The sequence below is a fragment of the Homo sapiens genome, chromosome 20, assembly GCF_000001405.40.
Source record: "Homo sapiens chromosome 20, GRCh38.p14 Primary Assembly".
Classification (NCBI taxonomy): Eukaryota; Metazoa; Chordata; class Mammalia; order Primates; family Hominidae; genus Homo; species Homo sapiens.
In genome coordinates this window covers 10,438,605-10,462,963 of record NC_000020.11, presented here as the reverse complement: position 1 = coordinate 10,462,963, position 24,359 = coordinate 10,438,605, and the positions used below count along the sequence as shown (strand labels likewise).

Genomic DNA, 24,359 nt, shown 5'->3' with positions numbered 1-24,359 from the left:
TACAGGCATATGCCATCACATCCAGCTTTTGAGTGTTCATATTTTGTATGACTCCCATGCACTTGTGTGCACATAATAAATTTGTTATGCTTTCCTTAGTTAACTTATTCTTTTGTTACAGGAGTGCTGACTGTGACCCTCCATGATGGGGAAGAAAGGATCATACCCTTTCCACCCTTACACTTTCTAGGCAAAATACACAGTAATCATCAAGGAATTTGGTTAGGCCCTCATCTGACTGGTTCCCTATTTCCTGGATCCCATATCTGATTCTTTCTCTGTTTATTCCCCTATTTTGGAAGACCACATCCTTTCTAAAACAGTGTGCATCAGAAGGGAAGTGTTTTCTACATTCTGCATCCTAAAAATAAATGTCTCTATTCTACCATGTGACTGAAAGTTGGGCTGTAAAGGGAATTCTTGGTTGGAAACCATTTTTCCTAAAATATTAAAGGTATTGTTCTACTGTCTCCTAGTTATTGCTGTTGAGAAGGGTGTTCTGATTCTTGATTCTCTGTCTGTAATCTGTTTGCTTTTTAAGTTCTTCTCTAAATTCCCAGTGTTCTGAAATTTTAGGATGATATACCTTAGCACAACTCTTTTTCATTGACTTTATTGTGTATTCACTCACAGCTCTTTCAAACAGGAAGTTTGTATCCTCCACTTCCAGTAAATTGTATTGCATTATTTCTTTCATAATATTTTCTCAACCATTTGTTTTTCTTTCTAGAACTCCAATTTTTCATATCAAGACTGAAACTCTAATTTTCTTGTGGTTTTCTCCTCAATTTTTTAATCTATTATCTTTTTGTTCTACTTTCTGGGCAGTGTTCCTTGGTGTTTGCCCCATACTTTATCATATTTTCATTTATATTATGTTTTTAATTTATAAGAGCTCTTTCTTGTTCTTGGGAATTTCCCTAGTTCGTAACATCCTAACCTTGTTTTGTGGTTATATGTAATACCTTCCTTTTTCGCTCTGAGACTCCATCTCTACAAAAATTTAAAAATAAAAAAAATTAGCCGAGAGTGGTGGTGCATGCCTGTGGTCCCAGCTACTCAGGAGGCTAAGGCAGGAGGACTGCTTAAGCCCAGGAGGTCAAGGCTGAAGTGAGCCATATTCACACCACTGCACTCCAGCCTGGGCGACTGAGTGAGATCCTGTTTCAGAGAGGAAAAAAGCACTCTCAAAGTAATAAGGAAAAGAAAAACAGGGAAAGGCAATTGGCCACTGGCCACACAGCACTCACACAAGACTTCAGGAGCAGTGTTCCCTGGGAAGAAAGCATGTCTGACAACATCAGTAGCAGGTGTGCAGGTCTCCTGCTGCTCATGATACCCTGGAGCAGAGCACAGAAACCTGGCAAAACTTCATGTCAGATATTTAAAAAGGGATCCCCATGCTTGAGTCACGGAGCTTCTAAGTAAGGTACATGATTAGAGAACCACTGGTCCCTAGCCTGTCAGAGGCAGAAATACAACCACAAAGTGATGTGCAGAGCCTTCAATACGATGTGTCAGAACCCTGTCCCTATCCCTATTATGCTAGCCTGATACTCACGGTTGAGGCAACTCCTCTGCCTGCCATGATCTGGAAGCTTTGTTCCAAGCCTTGCAGGCATCACTATAAGATGGGATAATATGGTAGCAGAATATGCCATTTCCATGGGTATGGAACAGACCCATCTCTTGCATAATTAGGGGCCTCACGTCCAAGTTTCATGGTTGACCAGGATGGTCTGCCCTACTTGGCCATAGCCAGTTTCAACAGAGTTTTGCAAGAAGCCCAGCCCTTTTCTGAGCAGACAGACTACCAGGGCTCAGTCTTGGAAAAATTAATCTCACTCCTCTAGCATATAATAAAGTCATATGAGACTATCCAACAAACTTCAAATAAAAGTTCTCTATAAGAAGAGAACAGAGAGAATTAGGAGAGGCAGAGAAAATGGTCAAGAATTTTCCAAAACTGATGACTTGAGCCATCAAATTGAAGACATACATTTTATCCCAAGCCAGAATAAAAACAAGACTATAACTAGAGATTTCATAGTGAAACTATAGAAGAGCAAAGACAAAAATAAATCTTAAGAGCAATCAGAGAAGAAAGACAGATAACCAAGAAGGAATCAGATCAGGCCAACAGTGAACTTCTGAGGTGAGTAGTCTCCATAGACGCACCCCAACAATTCTCCCAATCCCTGTGAGAAAATACTGCTTCTCAAGTCAAGAGTGCAGCTTCCCCTGACTCTAGGCTGACCCTGTGAATGCTCTGATCAATGGAAGTCCACAGAAGTGGCATCTGAGATGTCTGCATCTAGGCCTTCAGAGGACTGACAAATTATACTTCTTTCATTGTGCAAGTCTTAAGATGCTACCCCTCAAAACTCAGCCACCGGGGTAGATGCCCAAGCCATGCAGAACAGGCACGTGGATGAGAACTAAAGGACAACAATTAACAGATCCAGCAATGATTCCAACCAAAGCCAGCATCAACTGCACTGAGTATGCCATCTTTCATTTTCCACCTAAGTTGAGTCCCTAAGTAGAACTGCAGCCCCAACCAACATCAAAAGGAAAAATTACTCAATTGATGCTAGGCAACCTACAGAATCAGGAGAGATTATAAAATGGTTCGTGTTTCAAGCCACTAAGTTTTAAGGTGGATTTAAGCATCAATACATAATGAAAACATTTCTCAGTAGTAATAAAAGATGCCAGAAGAAAATTAAAAATTATCTTTAAACTGTTGTTGGAAAATAATGCTCAACCTAGAATTCTAAAACCAACCAAATATCTTTCTAGGGTGAGACCAAATACATTTTTAGACACACAAATAGTGAAAGTTCATCACTTACATGCCTTCACAGAAAGAAATACTAAAGAATATATATATGGATACAAAAAACAACTGAAAGCAATGAAATTTATAAATATGTTAGTAAATCTAAATAAGCACTGACTTGGTTAAAAATAAGACAGAGCTATAATATTACATAGTATCTAATCTGGCCAACTAGCTATTGTAATTTATATTTTGATGTTTTGAACTTGCACTTATGGTAAGACTAGCATACAGAAAATGTCCTAAAGAAACACCAACATATATGAAAGCATCTCCAAGATCTTGCACTCATCATCAGTTCTTCTCTTCTCCCTTCCCACTATCCCTCACACAGGAGCCTCCCATCTATCCACACCTGAGAAGGTCTCAACCCCAGCCATCAAGGAACAAACAAGGGACATTTATAAGAGGAAAATGAAAGAGGGCAACCAGGCAAGAGAACTCTCCTGGCATTTACCCAGGTAGAGAATTTGCTGATTACTTCTTTTGCTTCAACCTTTTATCTGCTTTGACATAATGAGAAATCAAGCCATGGACATGGAATATGAATGATAGTTTTTAACAGTAAAGACCAAGTGATGACCAAAAAGCATCTTTAAAAGATGAAGCAAGGAACGCCTCATAACCATATGAACATTTTCTCCGCCGTCTCATTCTCAAAATATAAATTTTCCATATGCCTACTTAAAATTGTCAAGTCCCCAAAACACCAAAAGCAATTGCAACAAAAGCAAAAATTGACAAATGGGATCAAACTAAACTAAAGAGCTTCTGCACAGCAAAAGAAACTATCATCACAGTGAACAGACAACCTACAGAATGGGAGAAAATATTTGCAAGCTATCCATTTGACAAAGGTCTAATATCCAGAGTCTACAAGGAACTTAAACAAACTTACAAGAAAAAAAACAAATGACGCCATTAAAAAGTAGGCAAAGGACGTAAATAGACTCTTCTGAAAAAAGGACATTCGTGTAGCCAGCAAATATATGAAAAAAAGCTCAACATCACTGATCATTAAAGAAATGCAAATCCAAAACAATGCAATACCATCTCACGCCAGTGAGAATGGCGATTATTAAAAAGTCAGGAAACAACAGATGCTGGTGAGATTGCGGAGAAAAAGGAATATTTTTACACTGTTGGTGGGAGTGTAAATTAGTTCAACTATTATGGAAGACAGTGTGGCGATTCCCTAAAGATCTAGAGGCAGATATGCCATTTGACCCAGCAATCCCATTACCGGGTATATACCTCCCAAGATATAAATCATTCTATTATAAAGAAACATGCATGCGTATGTTCATTGCAGCACTAGTCACAATAGCAAAGACATGGAATCAACCTAAATGCCCATCAGTGAAAAAACGGATAAAGAAAATGTGGTACATATACACCATGGAATACTAAGCAGCCATAAAAAGGAACAAAATCATGTCCTTTGCAGGGACGTGGATGGAGCTGGAAGGCATTATCCTCAACAAACTAATGCAAGAACAGAAAACCAAATACTGCATAGTCTAACTTATAAGTGGGAGCTGAATGAGAACACATAGACACATGGGGGGAAACAGCACACACTGGGACCTGTTGTGGGGGAAGGGGGAGGGAGAACATCAGGAAGAATAGCTAATGGACACTGGGCTTAATACCTAAGTCATGGGATGATCTGTGCAACAAACCACTGTGGCACATGTTTACCTATGTAACAAACCTGCGCATCCTGCACACATGCCCCAGAACTTAAAAGTTGAAGGAAAAAAAAAAATTTTGCAGAGTCCCAAGTGTAAAAAGCAGAAAGTTAGGAACCTCGATTTTCAATTAACACAGAGCTCAGTTATATTAGAAAGTGATTAGCCTCTTTTTAAAAAGCTATTAAACATTACTTACTTTAACAGCAAATTTCTTAGATGCCATGGCTTATTGATTCCACAGTAACTACAGACCTTTAAGAAAAAAAAAAGTTACAATTAGGTATATTAAAATTTCTTTTTATTTGGATATTATACAGGAAAAAGATGGGCTGAATAGTAAAATATCAATAGGTATTTATGAGATGAATGTTCACTTATAATTGCCCTTAACCAAAATACTATATTAAATTAGTAATTTAAGCACTGCTTGCAAATAAAAGGACAGGCCCTGGCCAGGCATGGTGGCTCACACCTATAATCCCAGCACTTTGGGAGGCCAAAGTGGGAGACTCACTTGAGCTCAGGAGTTCGAGACCAAACTAGGCAACACAGCAAGACCTCATCTCTACAGAAAGAAAAAAAAAAAAGAGAGAAAAGCACAGGCTCAGATGGCTTCCCTGCTACATTCTATCAAATGTGTACAGAATAATTTAAACCAATCCCTCATAAACTCTTTAAAAAAACAGAAGCATAAGAAAAATTTCTCAAATAATTCTGAAGCCAGTATCATCCTGATACCAATACCAGAGAGAGACATCACAAGAAAACCACACATCAATGTCCCTTATGAAGACACAAAAATTCTCAACAAAATACTAGAAAATCAAACATAGCAACATGTAAAAAAGATTATACACCACGATCAAGTTGGATGTAGCCCAAGAATGCAAGGATAGTTTAAGATCTGAAAATTAATCAATATAATACACTCTATTAATAGAATAACAGAAAAAATGCACATAATCATAATACAAAAAAAAAAAACCCAAAATGCTTTTTTAATTAAAAACAAAAAAAAGCCAACACAATAGGAATAGAAGGAACTATCTCAACCTGATAAAAGACATTTAGGAAAAACCAAGTGCTAAAATCATACTTAATGATGAAGACTAAATGTTTTCTCCCTTAAGATGAGAGACATGTCTTTACATGAAACGTCTGCTCTTGCCACTTCTTTTCATCATTGTACTAAAGGTTCTAACTAAGGCAATTAGGCAAGAAAAAGAAATAAAAAGCATCCAGATCAGGAAGAAAGAAATAAACTGTCTATTCATAAACAATATGTTCTCATATATAGAAAACCCTAACAAATCATCAAAAAACTACTAGAATTAATAAGTTCAGCAAGGTTGTAGGATATATGATAAATATTTTAAAATCTACTGTATTGCTACATATCAACAATGAATAGTCCTAAAATAAAATTTAAAGAAAAATTCTATTCATAATAACATGAAAAAGAATACTTAGGAATAAGCATAGCAAAAGTACAAGATTTGTACACCAAAAGTCATAAAATATAATTGAAAGAAATTAAAGACTTAAGTGGAAAGATAACCCGTGTTCATGGATTGTAAGACTTAAAGCGGTTAATATAGCAATATTCCCAAATTGTTCTCAGATTCAACATAATCCCTATCAAAATCCCAGCTGACTTCTTTATAGAAATTAACAAGTTTATCCTAAAACGTATATGAAAATGCAAGAGATCTGGAGTAACAAAAACAATACTGAAAAAGAAGAATCAAATTGGAGAACTCAGCCTTCTCAATTTAAAAGCTTATTACAGCTGGACGCAGTGGCTCACGCCTGTTAATCTCAGCACTTTGGGAGGCCGAGGCGGGTAGATCACGAGGTCAGGAGTTCGAGACCAGCCTGGCCAACATGGTGAAACCCCGTCTCTATTAAAAATACAAAAATTAGCTGGGCATGGTGGCATGCACCTGTAATCCCAGCTACTCAGGAGGCTGAGGCAGGAGAATCGCTTGAACCTGAGAGGCAGAGGTTGCAGTGAGCCAAAATCATGCCACTGCACTCCACCCTGGGTGACAGAGCAAGACTCCGTCTGAAAAACTATCAAATAAAATAAATAAATAAATAAAAGCTTACTACAACATCACAACAATCAAAACAGTATGGTACAGGCTGAGTATCCCTTATCAGAAATGCTTAGGACCAGAAGTGCTTCAGATGTAGGATTTTTTCAGATTTTGGAATATTTGCACATACATGATGAGATATCCTGGGGATGAGATCCAAATCTAAACACAAAATTCACTTATGTTTCATATATACCTTATACAGATAGCCTGAATTTTACATATTTTTATGATTTTGTGCATGAAACAAAGTTTTGACTTCATTTTGACTACAGATTGTCATGTGAAGTCAGGTGTGGAATTTTGTACTTGTGGCATTATGTTGGCATTCAGAAAGTTTCAGACTTTGGAGGATTTCGTATTTTGGATTTTCATATTAGGGATGCTCAACCTATACTAGCATAAGAACAGACATATAGGCCAGGCACGGTGGCTCACACCTGTAATCCCAGCACTTTGGGAGGCCGAGGCTAGCAAATCACTTGAGGCCAGGAGTTCGAGACAACCCTGGCCAACATGGCGAAACCCTGTCTCTACTAAAAATACAAAAAATTAGCTGGGTGTGGTGGTGTGCACCTGTAATCCCAACTACTGGGAAGGCTGAAGCACGAGAATCATTTGAAACCAGGAGGCAGAGGTTGCAGTGTGGCAAGATTGCGCCACTGCACTCTAGCCTGGGGGACAGAGTGAGACTCTGTCTCAAAATAAATAAATAAATAAATAAATAAATAAATAAATAAATAAATAAAAGACATACAGGTCAATTGGAATAAAATTGATAGAAATAGATCCTTAAATTTATGTTCAATTGATTTTCAACAAGGGTACTAAGATAACTTGATGGGAAAATAGTTTTTTCAACAAATGGTTCTAGAACAACTGAGTATCCATATGCCAAATAATAAAGTTAGACTGCTACATCACACTATATACAAAAAGTTAAATCAAAATGGATCATAGACCTAAATATAAGAGCTAAAACTATAAAAATCTTAGGAAAAAACAAAGGCATAAATTTTTGTGACCTTTCATTAGGCAACAGTTTCTTAGATATGATACCAAAACAGAAGTGACAAACACAATTAGTAAATTAGATTTTATCAAAATTAAAAACTTTTATACTTCAAACCAAGAAAGTAAAAAGATAATACACAGAATAGAAAAAAAATCTGCAAATCATACATCTGATGAAGGACTCATGTCCAGAATATATAAAGAACTCAACTCAATAAGAGGACAAATAATTTAAAAATAAGCAAAGAATTTGAATAGACATTCCTTCAAAGAAGATATACAAATGACCAATAAGCACATGAAAAGATGCTTAACATCATTAGCCATCAAATGCAAATCAAAACCACAATGAGATATTACTTTATACCCATTAAGATAAATAGCTAAAATCAAAATGACAAATAATAACAGATGTTGGCAAGGATGTGAATAAACTGGAACTCTCATACATTGATGGTAGGCATGTAAAATGTAGCCACTTTGCACAATAGTTTGATAGCATTTCAAAATTTAAAGAGTTGCCACATGACCCAGCATTTCCATTCCTAAGGATATATCCAAGAAAAAAAATAATAACTCCATACAAAAAAATTATACAGGAATGCTCACAGAAGCACTACTAATAATAGTCAAAAAATGGAAACAACCCAAATGTCCATCAACTAATGAACAGATAAATAAAATGTGATATATCATACAATAGAATATTATTTGGCAATAAAAAGGTAAATATTCCCCTTTACTGTGCTCAGCCAGGCAACTGCTTTTTCTCACCCTGGCAGAAACCTGGAGTATTTTCTGAAGAGGGTAAGACAGAGGATCTCTAGTCTGGAAAACACCAGGCACAGTAGAAGGTGGAGTCTTCTGAACAAAGAGACATTAGGGAATACAAATACAGAGACCTTCCTCTGCCTGCATGCCTCTCTACCCTGCCCATACTCTCCAGACTGCAGACTGAAACCTCCCTATTCAGAGAATTGGACTAACCTAAAAGACACTGTCTAAAAATACTGACATAGGGGTTCCTTGGGGAACAGCCTAAACAGATGGCTCTTAAGTGAAGTCCACATCCATAAGCCCCACACCCATATGCAGAGATTCTAGTCATCTTTTAATGTCCCACTCTCAAATACAAGTAAACAAGCAGGAATCACCTACCACCTAAGGCAAGATTAAATTATGAAAGAAAACCAAATACAGAAAAAAACCTATTTGGCTGAAACAAAGTATGGAGGGAGAAGAAAACATTTTTTAAGAATTATCATTAGGGAGATTGCAGATACTACAGCCATAAAGCAAAAAATGACAGCAACAAAAAAAGAGAACTATCAGAAGACAACAAACTAAAACAATGATAGTTGAATTTTAAAAACTTAATAGAATGGTTGAAAGATAAAGCTGATGAAATCTCTCAGAAACTTCAGCAAAAATTAAAAAAATGAAAAGAGACAATAAATTAAAATTAAAAGACCAATATAGGAGGTCAAACACATGAAAATTAGTATGGAGACTGACCCATATTACAGCATCTATCCCAGTGAAATTTTAGGCATTGGGGATAAAAAAAAAATTTTTTTTAAGTGCGTTGGGGGGTAGTAGGAGGTGGAGAACACAAAGGATCAGGAGTCAGAATTGGTTCCAAACCGCCCAAAGAAATGGAGAAATATCTTCAAAATTCTGAAGAAAATTGTTTCCAACCTCAAACTGGATTTAAACTTCAGGGAAGAAAAAAAATTCTTATGCAAGCTCTTATAAAACTGTTTCATGTATTTTTTCTCAGGAAGCTACTAAAGATGTGCTTCACCAAAATGAGGAAACTAAGCAAGAAAGAGGAAACAGGAAGGGTGAGACAGGAGAAAGGCAGAGCAAAGCTGAGGATCTGGTGAAAGGAGGCCTCCATGAGAGCTGTGGGTAGACCACAGGAGAAGCGCAGGTGCAGACCAGAGCAGGCCGCAGGGGAGAGGCACGTCCAGGAAGATCTACACACACACACACACACACACACACGGATGAGTTTTAGACAACTCGTGGAGAATATGAGATTGAATTAGGACAGGTACATGGAAAGCTAAACAGCAGAAGAATAACAAGGCAATGACTGATTCCATGATAAACAAAAACTGCAGTAAATAAAAAGAGTGCTTAATACACAGTTCAGTTATGACTAGCATTTATAGTTATAATAGCAAACATTGAATCCTGACCTAAACAATATTATGCTTACGATGATATTAGAAAAATAGGGAATGTGTGTGTATAAATATGGTGAGGGCATAGAGGTTAAACAGAGCAAAAGATCTCTAATGGTGATGGAATGTTTCAGAAACAAAGCAGACCAGTAAAAACAATAACAACCACAATAGCTATAGTAAAGCAAAAATACAGACGGTAATTTAGTGATCGGGATCCAATTCTTTTTTTTTAATAAAATTTTTTACGTTATTTATTTATTTATTTATTTTCTGAGACAGAGTCTCACTTTGTCAACCAGACTAAAGTGCAGTGGCTCAATCTAGGCTCACAGCAACCTCCACTTCCTGGACTGAAGCGATCCTCCTGCCTCAGCCTCCTAAGTAGCTCAGATTATAGGTTCATGCCACCAAGCCCAGCTAATTTACATATATATATATATATTTTTTTTTTTTTTTTTGAGACAGTTTCGCTCTTGTTGCCCAGGCTGGAGTGCAATAGCGTGATCTCAGCTCACTGCAACCTCTGTCTCCTGGGTTCAAGCGATTCTCCTGTCTCAGCTTCCCGAGTAGCCGGGATTACAGGTGCATGCCACCACGCCCAGCTAATTTATGTATTTTTAGTAGAGACAGAGTTTCATCATATCGGTCAGGCTGGTCTTGAATTCCTGACCTCAGGTGATCCGCCCACCTCGGCCTCCCAAAGTGCTGGGATTACAGGCATGAGCCACTGCGCCCAGCCTATTTTTATATTTTTTATAGAGATGGAGCTTCACCATCTTGCCCACGCTGGTCTTCATCTCCTGAGCTCAAGCAATCCACCAGCCTCAGCCTCCCAAAGTGCTGGGATTATACGTGGGAGCCACCACGCCCTGCCTGGATCCAATTCTTAAGTACTAAACTCTGCCCCAAACTGAAGAACAAGATGAAGAGAGCTCACAAGGATGGAGGAAAGGGGTTGAGGAGGACACCATAATTCACAAGCCTTGAGCATGGAACTATTTGCCCGTTGAAATTTTTAGAACAGGTCTTCCAAAAGAAATATAATGCAAGCCACAAATGTAATTTTAAGTTTTCTAGTAGTTGCATTTTTAAAAAAGTAAACAGAAACAGATAAAGTTAATTTGAATAATCTATTTTATTTTATTTTATGTTTTTGAGACGGTGTCTCACTCTGTCACCAGGGCTGGAGTGTAGTGGCACGATCTTGGCTCACTGCAACTTCCACCTCCTGGATTCAAGCGATTCCCCTGCCTCAGCCTCCCAAGTAGCTGGGATTACAGGCGCCCGTCACTATGCCCAACTAATTTTTTGTATTTTTAGTAGAGACGGGGTTTCACCATATTGGCCAAGCTGTTCTCGAACTCCTGACCTCATGATTCACCCGCCTCGGCCTCCCAAAGTGCTGGGATTACAGTCATGAGTCACCGTGCCTGGCCAATCTATTTTATTTAACCTGATATAGCCAACATGTTAGCATTTCAACATGTGAGCTATATAAAAATGTTTACATGCTTGTTGTTTTAACCAAGACTTTGAAATTGGTTATATTTCTAGGACATCTCAATTTGGACTGGTCATGTGTCAGGTGCTCAATAGACACTTGTAGGTAGCCACCATTATGGACAGCGCAGTTTGAGAGCCTTTTTTTAAACAAGAAAAACACGGCCAGGCGCGGTGGTTCACACCTGTAATCCCAACACTTTGGGAGGCCAACGCACGTGGATCACTTGGGGTCAAAGTTCGAGACCAGCCTGGCCAACATGGTGAAACCCCATCTCTACTAAAAATACAAAAGTTAGGCAGGCATGGTGGTGGGCGCCTGTAATCCCAGCTACTCGCAAGGCTGAGGCAGGAGAATCGCCTGAACCTGGCAGGCGCAAATTGCAGTGAGCCGAGATTACGCTACTGCACTCCAGCCTGGGTGACAGAGTGATACTCTGTCTCAAAAAAATAAATAAGAAGGGCACTTATTTCTGTATCCTGAATATTTTATTTCTAAAATAAGAGTAATAATACCTAACTCAAAATTATTGAAAGGACTAAATAAAATGACATACAAAAACACTAGGCCTGCCGGGCACGGTGGCTCACGCCTGTAATCCCAGCACTTTGGGAGGCCGAGGCAGGCGGATCAAGAGGTCAGGAGATCGAGACCATCCTGGCTAACACGGTGAAACCCCGTCTCTACTAAAAACCCAAAAAAATTACCCGGGCGTAGTGGCGGGCGCCTGTAGTCCCAGCTACTCAGGAGGCTGAGGCAGGAGAATGGCGTGAACCCGGGAGGCGGAGCTTGCAGTGAGCCGAGATCGCACCATTGTCCTCCAGCCTGGGCGACAGAGCGAGACTCCGTCTCAAAACAAACAAAAAAACCACTAGGCCTTCGATGAGTATTGATAATTATTATTACTCAGTCAACAGTGATTTTTTAGAAATTGGTACCCTTTGGTTTTAATTTTTAATGTTTTAATGTTTGCCTCCTATGTGATGAGATCCTAATTTTTTAAATGGACAAAAATATCTTTATCCAAACCCTAAGTCATGTTAAGTATTCATTTCCATTCTCTAAATAACATAATGCACATGACTTAGAAAAATATTTAATGAAGTTTATCTTAGCAAGCCCATTTAGACGCAAGTGTAAGTGGAAAAAAAGTAAGTTCCTGGGAAATCAGGCACATGTTTAAAAACAATGTATATAAAGGTTGTCCTGAAAACTTTATATGAATTTTTTAAAATTACATTATTTTTGTCTAATAAACATAAAATCAGTCACCTTAAATACATTAAATCAGGCTTGAATAATCTTGCTAAGAATTAAGGAAGTCCCTAAATGAGGGTACTTAAAAAGAATACTCAAGTGCATCAGCTAGACATGGAACCAGGAAAAAGGGGACAGTTTTGTCAATAAGTAACCATCACAGGTAAAAAAAATGTGTGATCCAATTATTTTTTAATTACACACCAGTTTTCCCATATGTACTTTTTTTCCTGAAGGACAGATAGACCACGTGGAAGGCCAAGGCAAGGCTTTCACATCATATCTGCCTTGGATAGATCATAAATGAGCCATATTACAGTGAGGTTACTGTGATGGCTAATATTACTAATACAGTTACATTTTCACATTTTCAACTCACAATAAGGTTTTGTTTTTGTGGGTTTTTTTTTTTACTTTTATCAATAAAACAAGAACAGCTACATTTACGATGTAGATTCTGAATTTTTCAAAGAGTATCATCAAAGTCCAATATCAAAAAAATGATCTCTAGGGATCTGGAACTGAAAAGCATGTATTTTTTATATAAAATAATATGGTCTGACAATGTAAAATAGGCTACCTGGGAAGAATGAAATCTATATTCTGAATATTTTAGTCTGTTTTTAATATCATAACACACTCTGCCTCAAGTTATGTAACTTTTTCACTTGTTTCCACAATGTTTGGAAATTCAAAAAGTCACAATTTTAGGGCTAAAATAGATCTTACAGACCCTCTACTCCCAGCCTTGCCATCTATTCCCCTAATGAGAACTTATGGGACCAGGCCAGCATCTCACAGCTGATGGCCTAACCAAGCGCTAGATAGAGTCTTGTCAGGTCCACTGAGGGCAAACTAGCACCATCTGTCACCTGTAGAATTGCCAAAGTCAGTGACTAATTGGGCTGTCAGGGTAGGTGTGACCTTCTTCCCTCTGCCTCACGCCAAGGTCCAAGTTCCCAACACAGAGTATGACCTCAAATGAAGCTACATGTGTAGTGGTCCTCTCCTGTTAATCAAAGAAAGAAAGAAACTCTATAGTTAATGAAAATGAAGTTTGAATTAATTTATCACTATGCTACATAATATGGCACCCTTCATAGACAAAATATAAATAAATGAATTCTACCAAGATAAAGCCCATAACACATCTGGAAAGTCGGTTGCATAGACCTTGAGCTTGCATATTTGCTAAAGTCATTTCAGATAAAGAAACCATCTTTTCTTTGGTTTATGACAGCACTAGGCATGTGCTGGGGATGAATTAAACGGTGAATTGAAATCTGAAATGAACTGAGCCAATCTGCTAAGTTCCAAATATGGTAAAATCATACTTATCCATGGTGGAAGGAGTACACACTCATATGTGAGCAGCCCTCAGAGCAATGCCTAACACTAGAGGGTACTCAAGAAAAGCCTGCTGGGTGAAAAAAATGTTCCAGATAATTGGTGCTGAGTCACTTATGCATATAACCTTTTTATTTTTTTTCTGTTTTTAGGGAAATTTTCCAAAAATATACTGAATCTTTATTAATGTTCATAAAAATACCATATATTGAATATTTATCTGATATTCCCAATTAAAGTTATCATCACACTGAGCAATAAACACATCACTGCCCCTGTGAGCTGCTAGCTCCTACTCAAAGCTGCTCAACAGTAGGCCAGCGGGGTCGTCTGCCTGCTCTCGCAGGTGATCCCAGAGCTGTCAGAGTGCCTGAGTCCCTTTCTTAACTCCATTCTTAATCTTAATCAGATGGGCCTAGAAAACTAAGAGACTAAGGCTAATGTGATGTTTTCCAAGCCACTCTTACATGGATTTGCATGGACTTCAGTGTGCGAAGGCTTTGAGCCATCTGTTTTACATAATAAAATGACTATTACCTCTACTTCAGGATTAGGGTTTCTATAATGATGAAATCACCGGGTCATGGTACAGTGCAAAGTGTCCCTTGGATTTAAGCCTCAGCATTTAATTCTTCCCACCTCAAAAAAACAGTGGAGTTGGAAAGGTTGACCACTATAGTCTATTCCATTTCTAAACCTCTAGAATCCAAAAATCAACAGTAGTTCAGGGTTCAAATAATGCCAGTATACAAATTCTTCCAGAGAAAAGAGTAAGAAGGAAATCATCCCACCGCTCATTTTATGGAGTACTGATAGCAAAACCAGACAAAGGCAGTAAAAGAATGAAAAATCAGTCAATTCTATGAGTGAACATAGAAGCAATAATCTAAAAGCAATTTTAATCTAGCAAACCTACTTAAAAACAAACAAACATCAGAATCAAGTGAGGTATCTGAGGAGTGCAAGGTTAGCTAAACACTACAGAAATCATCACATTAAAAAACTGAAGTAGAGGCCGGGTTCAGTGGCTCACACCTGTAATCTCAGGACTTTGGGAGGCTGAGGCAGGAGGACTGCTTGAGCCCAGGAGTTCGAGACCAGCCTAGGCAACAAAGTGAGACCCTATCTCTAAAAAAAAAAAAAAAAAAAAATCAGCCAGGTGTGGAGCCCCCACCTGTGGTCCCAGCTACATGGGAAACTGAGGCAGGAGGATCACTTGAGCCCAGGAGTTCAAGGCTGCAGTGAGCCATGTTTATGCCACTGCACTCCAGCCTGGGTGACAGAGACCCTGTCTCAAAACACAAAAACAAAAACTAAAGAAGAAAAAAGGCACATAAACATTTCAGTAGAAGCAGAAAAAAATAAAAAGGTAACATTAGAAATCTATGAATACAAAGGAATTTCTTAATCTAAAAAAAGCATCTACAAAAATGTAACAAAATGCTTAATGATGAACCAGTAGAAACAACTTCTTTGCAACAAGTAGAAAATGTAGAACTTAAAATATCATTTAAACTAGCATCCCACAAATAAAAAGTATCTAGGAATAAAATGAAAAAAATATATACGAGACATCCTCTGACTGATCTACTAATTTAATGCAACTCCAAACACAAACTTGAACAGGGAAACTGAGAAAGACTAAAAAAGATCAAGACACTTCTAGAAAAGGAAGAAAAAAACAAAAGATGGGGCTTGCAAAACTGCTACAATGCAAGGTAAAAAAACTAACGTACTGGCAAACGGGCAGACAAACAGGCAGAGGGGGCAGACTCCACACACCAGAAACCAATGCATGCATTTATGAAACTGATGCATGCTGGGAGCAGCACTGTGAAATTAGTGTGAAATGAAGAGATGACTCATTCAATAAACTGTGGTCAAACAACTGCTCATATCTATTTGAGAAAAAATTAAATTGGACTCGATCTCATACAAGACTCAAAAATCAATTACAGATGGGTTAAAAACTCAAAGGTGTGAAACTAAAACCTTTCAGAGGATATTTTTATGAACTCAAAATCATAAAGGAGTTTTTTAACTAGACAGAGAAAATGTAAACCATAAAGAAAAAGAATGACAGCTTTGGCCATATTGAAATTAAAACTTTTCTAAGAAAACTGGGAGAAAAATATTTGCAATCCATATCTAACAAAGGATTTCTATCTAGAATACATAGTCTCAAAATTCAATAGTAAAAAGCAACAGTCCAATCAGAAAATGGGCAAATGACAAACAGATATCTCACCAAGAAGGATATACAGATGGTAAAAAAGCATATGAAAAGATATTCAACATCATTAGCCATGGGAAAATGTAAAATAAAACCACAATGAGATATCACTACATATCTACCAGAAAGACAAATAAAAAACAATAACACCAAATGCTGGTGAGGGTGCAGAGAAAATAGATCTCTCATATATCACTGGTGGGACTGTAAAAGTGGTACAGCCACTCAGGAAAAGTGACTGGAAGTTTCTTATCAATCTAAACAACCCAAAAATTGCTCTCCTCAGAATTTATCCCAGAGAAATGAGAACTTAGGCTCACGTAAAAACTTGTTCAAAAATGTTCATAGTAACTTTTTTTTTTTTTTTTTTTTTGAGACAGAGTCGCACTCTGTTGCCCAGGCTGTAGTGCAGTGGCCCAATTTCGGCTCACTGCAACCTCTGCCCTCCGAGTTCAAGTGATTCTCTTGCCTCAGCCTCCCAAGTAGCTGGGATTACAGGTGCCTGCCACCACACCTGGCTAATTTTTATGTTTTTAATAGAGACGGGGTTTCACCATCATGGCCAGGCTGGGCTTGAACTCCTGACCTTGTGATCCACCCACCTCAGCCTCCCAAAGTGCTGGGATTACAGGTATGAGCCACCGCATCCGGCCATCATAGTAACTTTATTCTTAACAGCCACAAACTGGAAACAACCCAGACATCCTTCAACGTGTGAATGGTTAAACAAACTGCAGTACCTTTATACCCTGGCATATTACTCAGGCAGAGGGAATAAACTATTGATACATGCAACTTGGATGGATTTTAAGGAAATAGGCTGAGTTAAAAAAAAAAAAAAAAAAAAAAAAGCAATCTCAGCCAGGCACAGTGGCTCATGGCTGTAATCCCAGCAGTTTCAGAGGCCAAGTAGGGCAGATCACCTGAGGTCAGGAGTTCAAGACCAGCCTGGCTAACATGGTGAAACCCTGTTTCTACTAAAAATACAAAAAATTAGCCGGGCTTAGTGGCATGTGCCTGTAGTCCCAGCTACTCAGGAGGCCGAGGCGGGAGAATCGCTTGAACTCAGGAGGCGGAGGTTGCAGTGAGCCGAGATCACGCCACTGCACTCCAGCCTGAGTGACAGAGTGAGACTCCATCTCAAAAAAAAAAAAAAAGGGCAATCTCATCGGCTGGGCATGGTGGCTCACATCTGTAATCCCAGCACTTTGGGAGGCTGAGGCGGGCGGATCATGAGGTCAGGAGTTCAAGACCAGCATGGCCAACATGGTGAAACTCCATCTCTACTAAAAATTAAAAAAATTAGCCAGGCGTCTTGGTGCACACCTGTAATCCCAGCTACTAGGGAGGCTGAGGCAGGAGAATTGCTTGAACCTAGGAGGTGGAGTTTGCAGTGAGCCAAGATCGCGCCATTGCACTCCAGCCTGGGCAACAAGAGCAAAACTCCATCTCAAAAAAAAAAAAAAAAAAAAAGAAAGAAAAAAGAAAAAGCAATCCAACAGAAAAATGGGGAGAGGTGGTCCCCAGAGTAAGGTGCCCCTGCCTCCCAACAAAGTCTCTGCAGGTCTGGCAAGGCAGTAGGGGGTGGAAGGAGAGCTTCTCATCCCTTCTGTTATTTAGGCCTTGACAACCACTGTGCAACATCCAACCATGAGACTTGTATATCCTCTGGGAGCTGAGGGGCATGTCCCTCACTATTCTTTTACAAAACCCAATTAGTTGTGATATCTAAACACAGAAGAATTGACGGAGAATCTGTGGGGAACACATGTTCTCTTCCCTTACTACATGCACACAGCCTGTTATCTGGGATGGAACAGATGACAGTCATGGATGGGCCCATCCGCCTCCCACGAGAAGGAAAAATCACAACATGGTGCTATGGTCTACATGTTGGTATCCCCCCAAATTTATATGTTGGAACCTAATGCCCAGTGTAATAGTATTAACGGTGGGGACTTTGGAAAGTGATAAATAATGAGGGCTCCATCCTCATGAATGGGACCAGTGCCCTTATTTTAAAAAAGGCTCAAACAAGCTCCCCAGCCTCTCTACCTTATGTGAGGGTACAGCAAGAAGGTATCATCTTCGAAGCAGAAAGCAAGTCCAGGCCAGGCGCGGTGGCTCATGTCTGTAATCCCAGCACTTTGGGAGGCTGAGGCGGGCGGATCACGAGGTCAGGAGTTCGAGACCAGCGTGAACAACATGGTGAAACCCCACCTCTACTAAAAATACAAAAATTAGCTGAGCATGGTGGCACACACCTGTAATCCCAGCTACTCAGGAGGCTGAGGCAGGAGAATCACTTGAACCCGGGAGGCAGAGGTTGCAGTGAGCTGAGATTGTGCCACTGCAATCCAGCCTGGGTGACAGAGCGAGACTCCAGCTCAAAAAAAAAGAAAGAAAGAAACCCCTCACCAGACAGTGAATCTGCTGGTGCCTTGATCTTAAACGTCCCATTCTCCAGAACTGTGAGCAATAAATTCCTATTGTTTATAAATTACTCAGTCTAAGGTATTTTGTTATGGCAGCACAGGCAGACTAAAACACATGGTGATGCCAGCAGCTCCAGACCCCTACAACTACAGCCTCTTAAAGTACCTCTAATCTCTATCCTTGTACTTCCCCATCCCCAAACCCAACATTAGAGGTATCTGAGCATAAGTCCCCTATTCAAAACTCTTCACTGGGATTTCCCACAGCATCAGAAGCCCTTTTGTCAATGCTTGTATTAGTCTGTTCTTGCAATGCTATAAAGAACTACCTGAGACTGGGTAATTTATAAAGAAAAGTGGTTTAACTGGCTCGCAGTTCTCCAGGCTCTACAGGAAGCATGGCTGGGGAGGCCTCAGGAGACTTACAATCATGGTGGAAGGCAAAAGGAGGCAGGCACATCCTACATGACTGGAGCAGGAGGAAGAGAGAGAAGAGAGAGGTACTATACACTTTTAAACAACCAGAGCTTGAGAGAACTCACTATCCTGAGAACAGCAAGTGGGAAATCTGCCCCCATGAACAATCACCTTCAACCAGGCCCCTCCTCCAACACTGGGGGTTACAATTCAACATGAGATTTGCTCAGGAACACAAATCCGAACAATATCAGTGCCCCTGCCCAAACCTCCATCTTATGGCACAGGCAACTTCACACCTGTAATGCCACCACATAACCAACTCCTGGCACATGTCCTTGAACATGCAGCTCCAGCTCTCCCTGCCTTCACCCATGCATGCCGCACTGTGGAATGTCCTCTCCTAAAGCGAGTTGAGTTATCCTCTGAGACCCAACTCAGATGCCACCTGTTTCTTGGAGCCTTCTATGAACCAAGTGAATTGCTCCTTCTCTGGGACACACCTGAACCACCTCTACTCTCACGCTTAGCCCACTGAATTATAACTAACTCTGGTCCTCTCCCTGACTATAAGATTCCCAGGGACAGGGTCCATTCATCTCCTCTTTAATATTTGGGGTGTGGCACTGTTATGCATTAAAAGTTTGCTGACTTGGGTCCATTGATGTTACTAAATCAGAATGTGGTTTTTTGTTTTTGTTTTTGTTTTTTTTTAGATTTATACCTATTTATCCAACGTATCTTTACTGTCCCTAAATTCCAAATTCCACAGTAAGCCTTCCAAAAAAGAGGTCAAGCACTCTGGACCTATTTCACCAAATAAATAATACTTCAGTTATATATAATCATACAGCCAAAGCTGAGAGTTGTAATTCATATAAACACATACCCAGAAGATCCTAGTGTTTCATATTGAAAATAATGGGCAACAGATTAGAGGTGTGGTTGAAGTTTATACCACAAAGATGATGTTTTTGGTGCATAAATTTCTTTGTCTTTAAAATACTGGCATTTTAACATTCATTTAAATGGAAAAGATATTATTAGCTTCTATCTTAATTAAGTTTTAAATCAAGGAACATCCTGAGGCTTTTCTAAATTTTTTTTACTGATCATTAAAAAGCAAGTGTGCACACACGCACACAAAAAGCAACAATGCATCTTCAATGATTATTTTCCTAGGCCCTCAAAGTTGCTTTCAGCAGGATGCAACAAGCTCAGTGACCAGGTTTACAGAATAAATGTTAAAAAGCCTTTGCTACCAGAGCTGGCAATTCAAGTCTAAATTCAGTGGCATTTTTATTTTGTTGCCTGTTTTTAAGAAGTGTAGGACAACCCAAAAAGATCAATTTTCCAAATATCTGAAAGTATATAATTTACATAAGTATGCTAAGTTAGAGTATATTATAACTTACAAATGATGCCTCATCTTCTATTGTGCATTCTTGAGTCCACTCTCTCAGGCCTGAAAACAAGCATTCTTTAACAAAGAGGAGACTTTGATAGGGTATGACCTACCAAAAATATGATTACATGTGTGTTTTTAGTGGAGTGAGAAAGATCCTAAGAGCTTTAAAAAATTAATTTGGGAAGGGAATGGAAGTAGATTAAACAATATCACATGGTTGTCCTGTCATTTAAATACAAAGCAGAGATAAACTCTAATAAAGAAAGTCAATGACCCTCTAGATTATTCTGTGGGAAAATCTAAGGCACTCTGAAATTCACATTTGTCTTCTTTCTAGTGTTGCTGGCCTGTGTCACAAGCAAATGCTCTCATTAAATAGACCAGAAATTAACTTTAGGTTTCTAATCTCCAGATTTCAAATTTTATCTAGGAAATTATTATGCTTCTTTCTATCATCTTAAAAAACTTTCATTAGTTATGGGAACAGAAACAGAAAACAGCAAAGGCAAAGCCCTAGAACTTCTGAAGTTACAGCTATAATTCAAGAATGAGAAATCATTTCACTGTTGTCCTCTCCCAACACATGCACCAATCTTACCACCAAAACAACCAATATCAAGGAATGAATCACAAACTTAACAAAAGACCAAGGAAAAATGACAAATGAGCAAAGGCCTCACTGGTGACCACTCAGATAAAGGCTGAAAGGCAACTTCAGTGTAAAAAAGAATTAGTTTTTGCTATTATTCAGATGGTAATTCTGAATGCCAAAGTTTACTTATAAAAAAAAAAACAAAAACAAACACGTCAGATTCAACACTGGAAAGAGGATAATGCAAGTAACAAAAAAATTAGAACTTTTAAAAATCCTTTGTCACTAAATGTAAGTCAAACATTGATACTCTACCAAGAATAATTCCATGGAACAGTGCTACCTTTTAGTTACTCTATACTCTCAACCTAGTCAGTTGACCCATGATCTGAGCCTCCCCTTCCTGCTGTGCCCACAGAAAATCCCCACCAGCCACTGCATGGGATGCTTTACTAATAGGCAAAATTTAGTAGGTTTTCGTTGTTGTTGTTGTTTAGAGACAGGGTCTCGGTCTGTTGCCCGGGCTGCAGTGCAGTGGCGTGATCACGGCTCACTGAAACCTCAACCTCCCCAGGTTCAAGTGATCCTCCTGCCTCAGCCTTCCGAGTAGCTGGGACTACAGGTGTAAGCCACCATGCCCAGCTAATTTTTGTATTTTTTGTAGAGATGAGGTTTCGCCATATTGCCCAGGCTGTTTTCTAAGTCCTGAGCTCAAGCACTCCACTCGCCTCAGACTCTCAAAGTGCTGGGATTACAGGTGTGACCCCACCATGTCCGGCCTGAATCTAGTTTTTATTTAATACCTAGTCAGAAACAGACATAGGCACCCACACCTGATGCATGTCCTTAGGTTCTTGTAAAACACATCCCTTCAAATTCTGACTCTTCGTATGACCTGAGACAGGCTATTCAACTCCTTTAAGTCTCTGGTTTTCTTACCTCTGAAATGGGATAATAACAACAGTTTCTATTTCATGGCTCCTGTAAGGATTACATGAGATCAGATATGTAATTATGGGGCCTAGTGCCTGATACACAGTGGATGCTCAGTGTCTTAAACGGAATCATTCCAACAACAAGAGCACAAGCAAACAGCACATGATCAATCCACTTTGTAACCCAAGAACTCTGATAACTAATGTTTTCCAGTCACCTTTACATAGAAAAAAAAAGTTCTGATAATCATTAATAAAATAGTTTTAAAATCTAATCATTTCAAAGCAAAAACTGTTATGATGGAGAACAGATCACTGGTTGCCAAAGGTGAAGGGGTAAGGAGTACTACAAAGGGGTGGCAGAAGGGAAGTTGGGGAGGAAGGAGCTGATGGAACTGTTCCATGTGCTGATTTCGATAGTGGTTACAAAACACTCAATGCACTGATTAAAACTCTGAAAACTACATACCCAAGAATAATTTTATTTTACATAAATTAAAAATAATATTTATTTATTTATTTTTTAGTTTCTAGGTTTTTTTTGAGACAGAGTCTCACTGTGTCACCCAGGCTAAAGCGCAGTTGCACTATCTTGGCTCACTGCAACCTCTGCCTCGTGGGTTCAAGCAACTCTCCCACCTCAGCCTCCCAAGTAGCTAGGATTACAGGTGTGCACCACCATGCCCAGCTAATTTTTGTATTTTTAGTAGAGACAGGGTTTCACCATGTTGGCAAGGCTGGTCTCAAACTCCTGATCTCAAGTGATCCGCCAGCCTCGGCCTCCCAAAGTGTTGGAATAACAGGCGTGAGCCACCGTACTGGGTCTGGAATAATTTTTAAATGCAAAAAATAAAAAAAAAATGCAATCTTTTCTAACTAGAAGATAAATCAAAAGTGACACAAATGAATTTCTATGTCCACGATATTGTAATAGCCATATTCTATATATTATCCCATAATTAATATGAGTCAAATCCAATTTTAAACCACCTCTGATTTATTCAAGCACAAAACGTCAATACTAAAATAAACACAAGTAACCGCTTTTACATAATAGAAGCAAAAAGACTTTAGAAATATACTTACATCAACTCAAAATATAAGTGGTACTCCCCATCTCCCTGACAAAGGGGAGTTTTATGAAATTATAGGGTTGGCTTTATAGATCTCTACTTTGCTACCTAATAAATAGGTTTCTTCATGTGCATGAATTATTGTCCTCAATCTCTAAAAAGTAGACTTGAGGTTTAATACAGCTTAAAGTGATTAGACATGTACATGTCAAGAACTAACAATCCACTTAAAAGTCAATGCACACATTTTGCATTTTTAAAAAGCCATGTTTCATTCACAAAACATTAATTCATAAACTACATAACAGCAAAGGTGAAGTTTTAATACAAACATGCTTTATGACTATCACCTCTTGGTTTCACTGTATACAGAAGGCTTCATTACCAAATAATTAAACTTCTAAAAAAATTGTTAGGCCAGCCCCCGTGGCTCACACTTGTAATCCCAGCACTTTGAGAGGCCAAGGTGGGAGGACTGCCTGAGTCCAGGAGTTTGAGACAGGTCTGGGTAACATGGTAAAAACCCAACTCTACTAAAGATACAAAAAATTAGCCAGGCACAGTGGTGCGCACCTGTAGTCCCAGCTACTCGGGAGGCTGAGGCACGAGAATCACCTGAACCCAGGAGGTGGAGGCTGCAGCGAGCTGAGATCATACCACTGCACTCCAGCCTGAGAGTGGGACCCAGTCTCAAAAAAATGAAAAAAGAAAAAAACGTTTTTAATTAAAATAAGCTAGAGAAGAACAAAGCAATGTGAGAATGAGATTGTAAAAATAAGAACAAACCAAATGTCCATCAATTGGTGAATATGTAAACAAATTATTATATATCTACACAATGGAATACCGCTGAGTAATTAAAAAGGAATAAACTATCAAAACTCCCAACAACAAAGACGGTTCTCAAAATAATTATGATGGCCAGGCGTGTGTGGCTCATGCCTATAATACCAGTGCTTTGGGAGGCTGAGGCAGGATTGCTTGAGACCAGGAATTCAAGAGCAGCCTGTATAACACAGCAAGATCCTCTCTAAAACAAAATAAAAATTAAAAAAAAAAAATGATTATGATGATGATGAAAGAAGCCAGACTAACCCGTACCCCCCAAAAAGCACATACTCCAAGACTGCAGTTAGATAAAAACCTAGGAAATGTGGCCGGGCATGGTGGCTCACTCCTGTAATCCCAGCACTTTGGGATGCCAAGGTAGGCAGATCATTTGATCAGGTAGCCTGATCAACATGGTGAAACTCCATCTCTACTAAAAATACAAAGAAAAATTAGCTGGGCATGGTGAAGGAAGCCTGTAATCCCAGCTAC

The 24,359-nt window shown here is 39.0% G+C and overlaps 1 protein-coding gene across 1 annotated transcript in view; it reads right to left on the bottom strand.

Moving 5' to 3' along the window:
* SLX4IP (SLX4 interacting protein) overlaps window positions 1–24,359 on the bottom strand; it is a 192,726-nt gene that overhangs the window by 165,067 nt on the left and 3,300 nt on the right. The window contains exon 2 of the mRNA NM_001009608.3: window positions 4,733–4,788. Within this exon, the coding sequence (NP_001009608.1) occupies window positions 4,733–4,759 (27 nt within the window). The 5' untranslated portion in view covers window positions 4,760–4,788. The remainder of the gene's footprint in view (window positions 1–4,732; window positions 4,789–24,359) is intronic.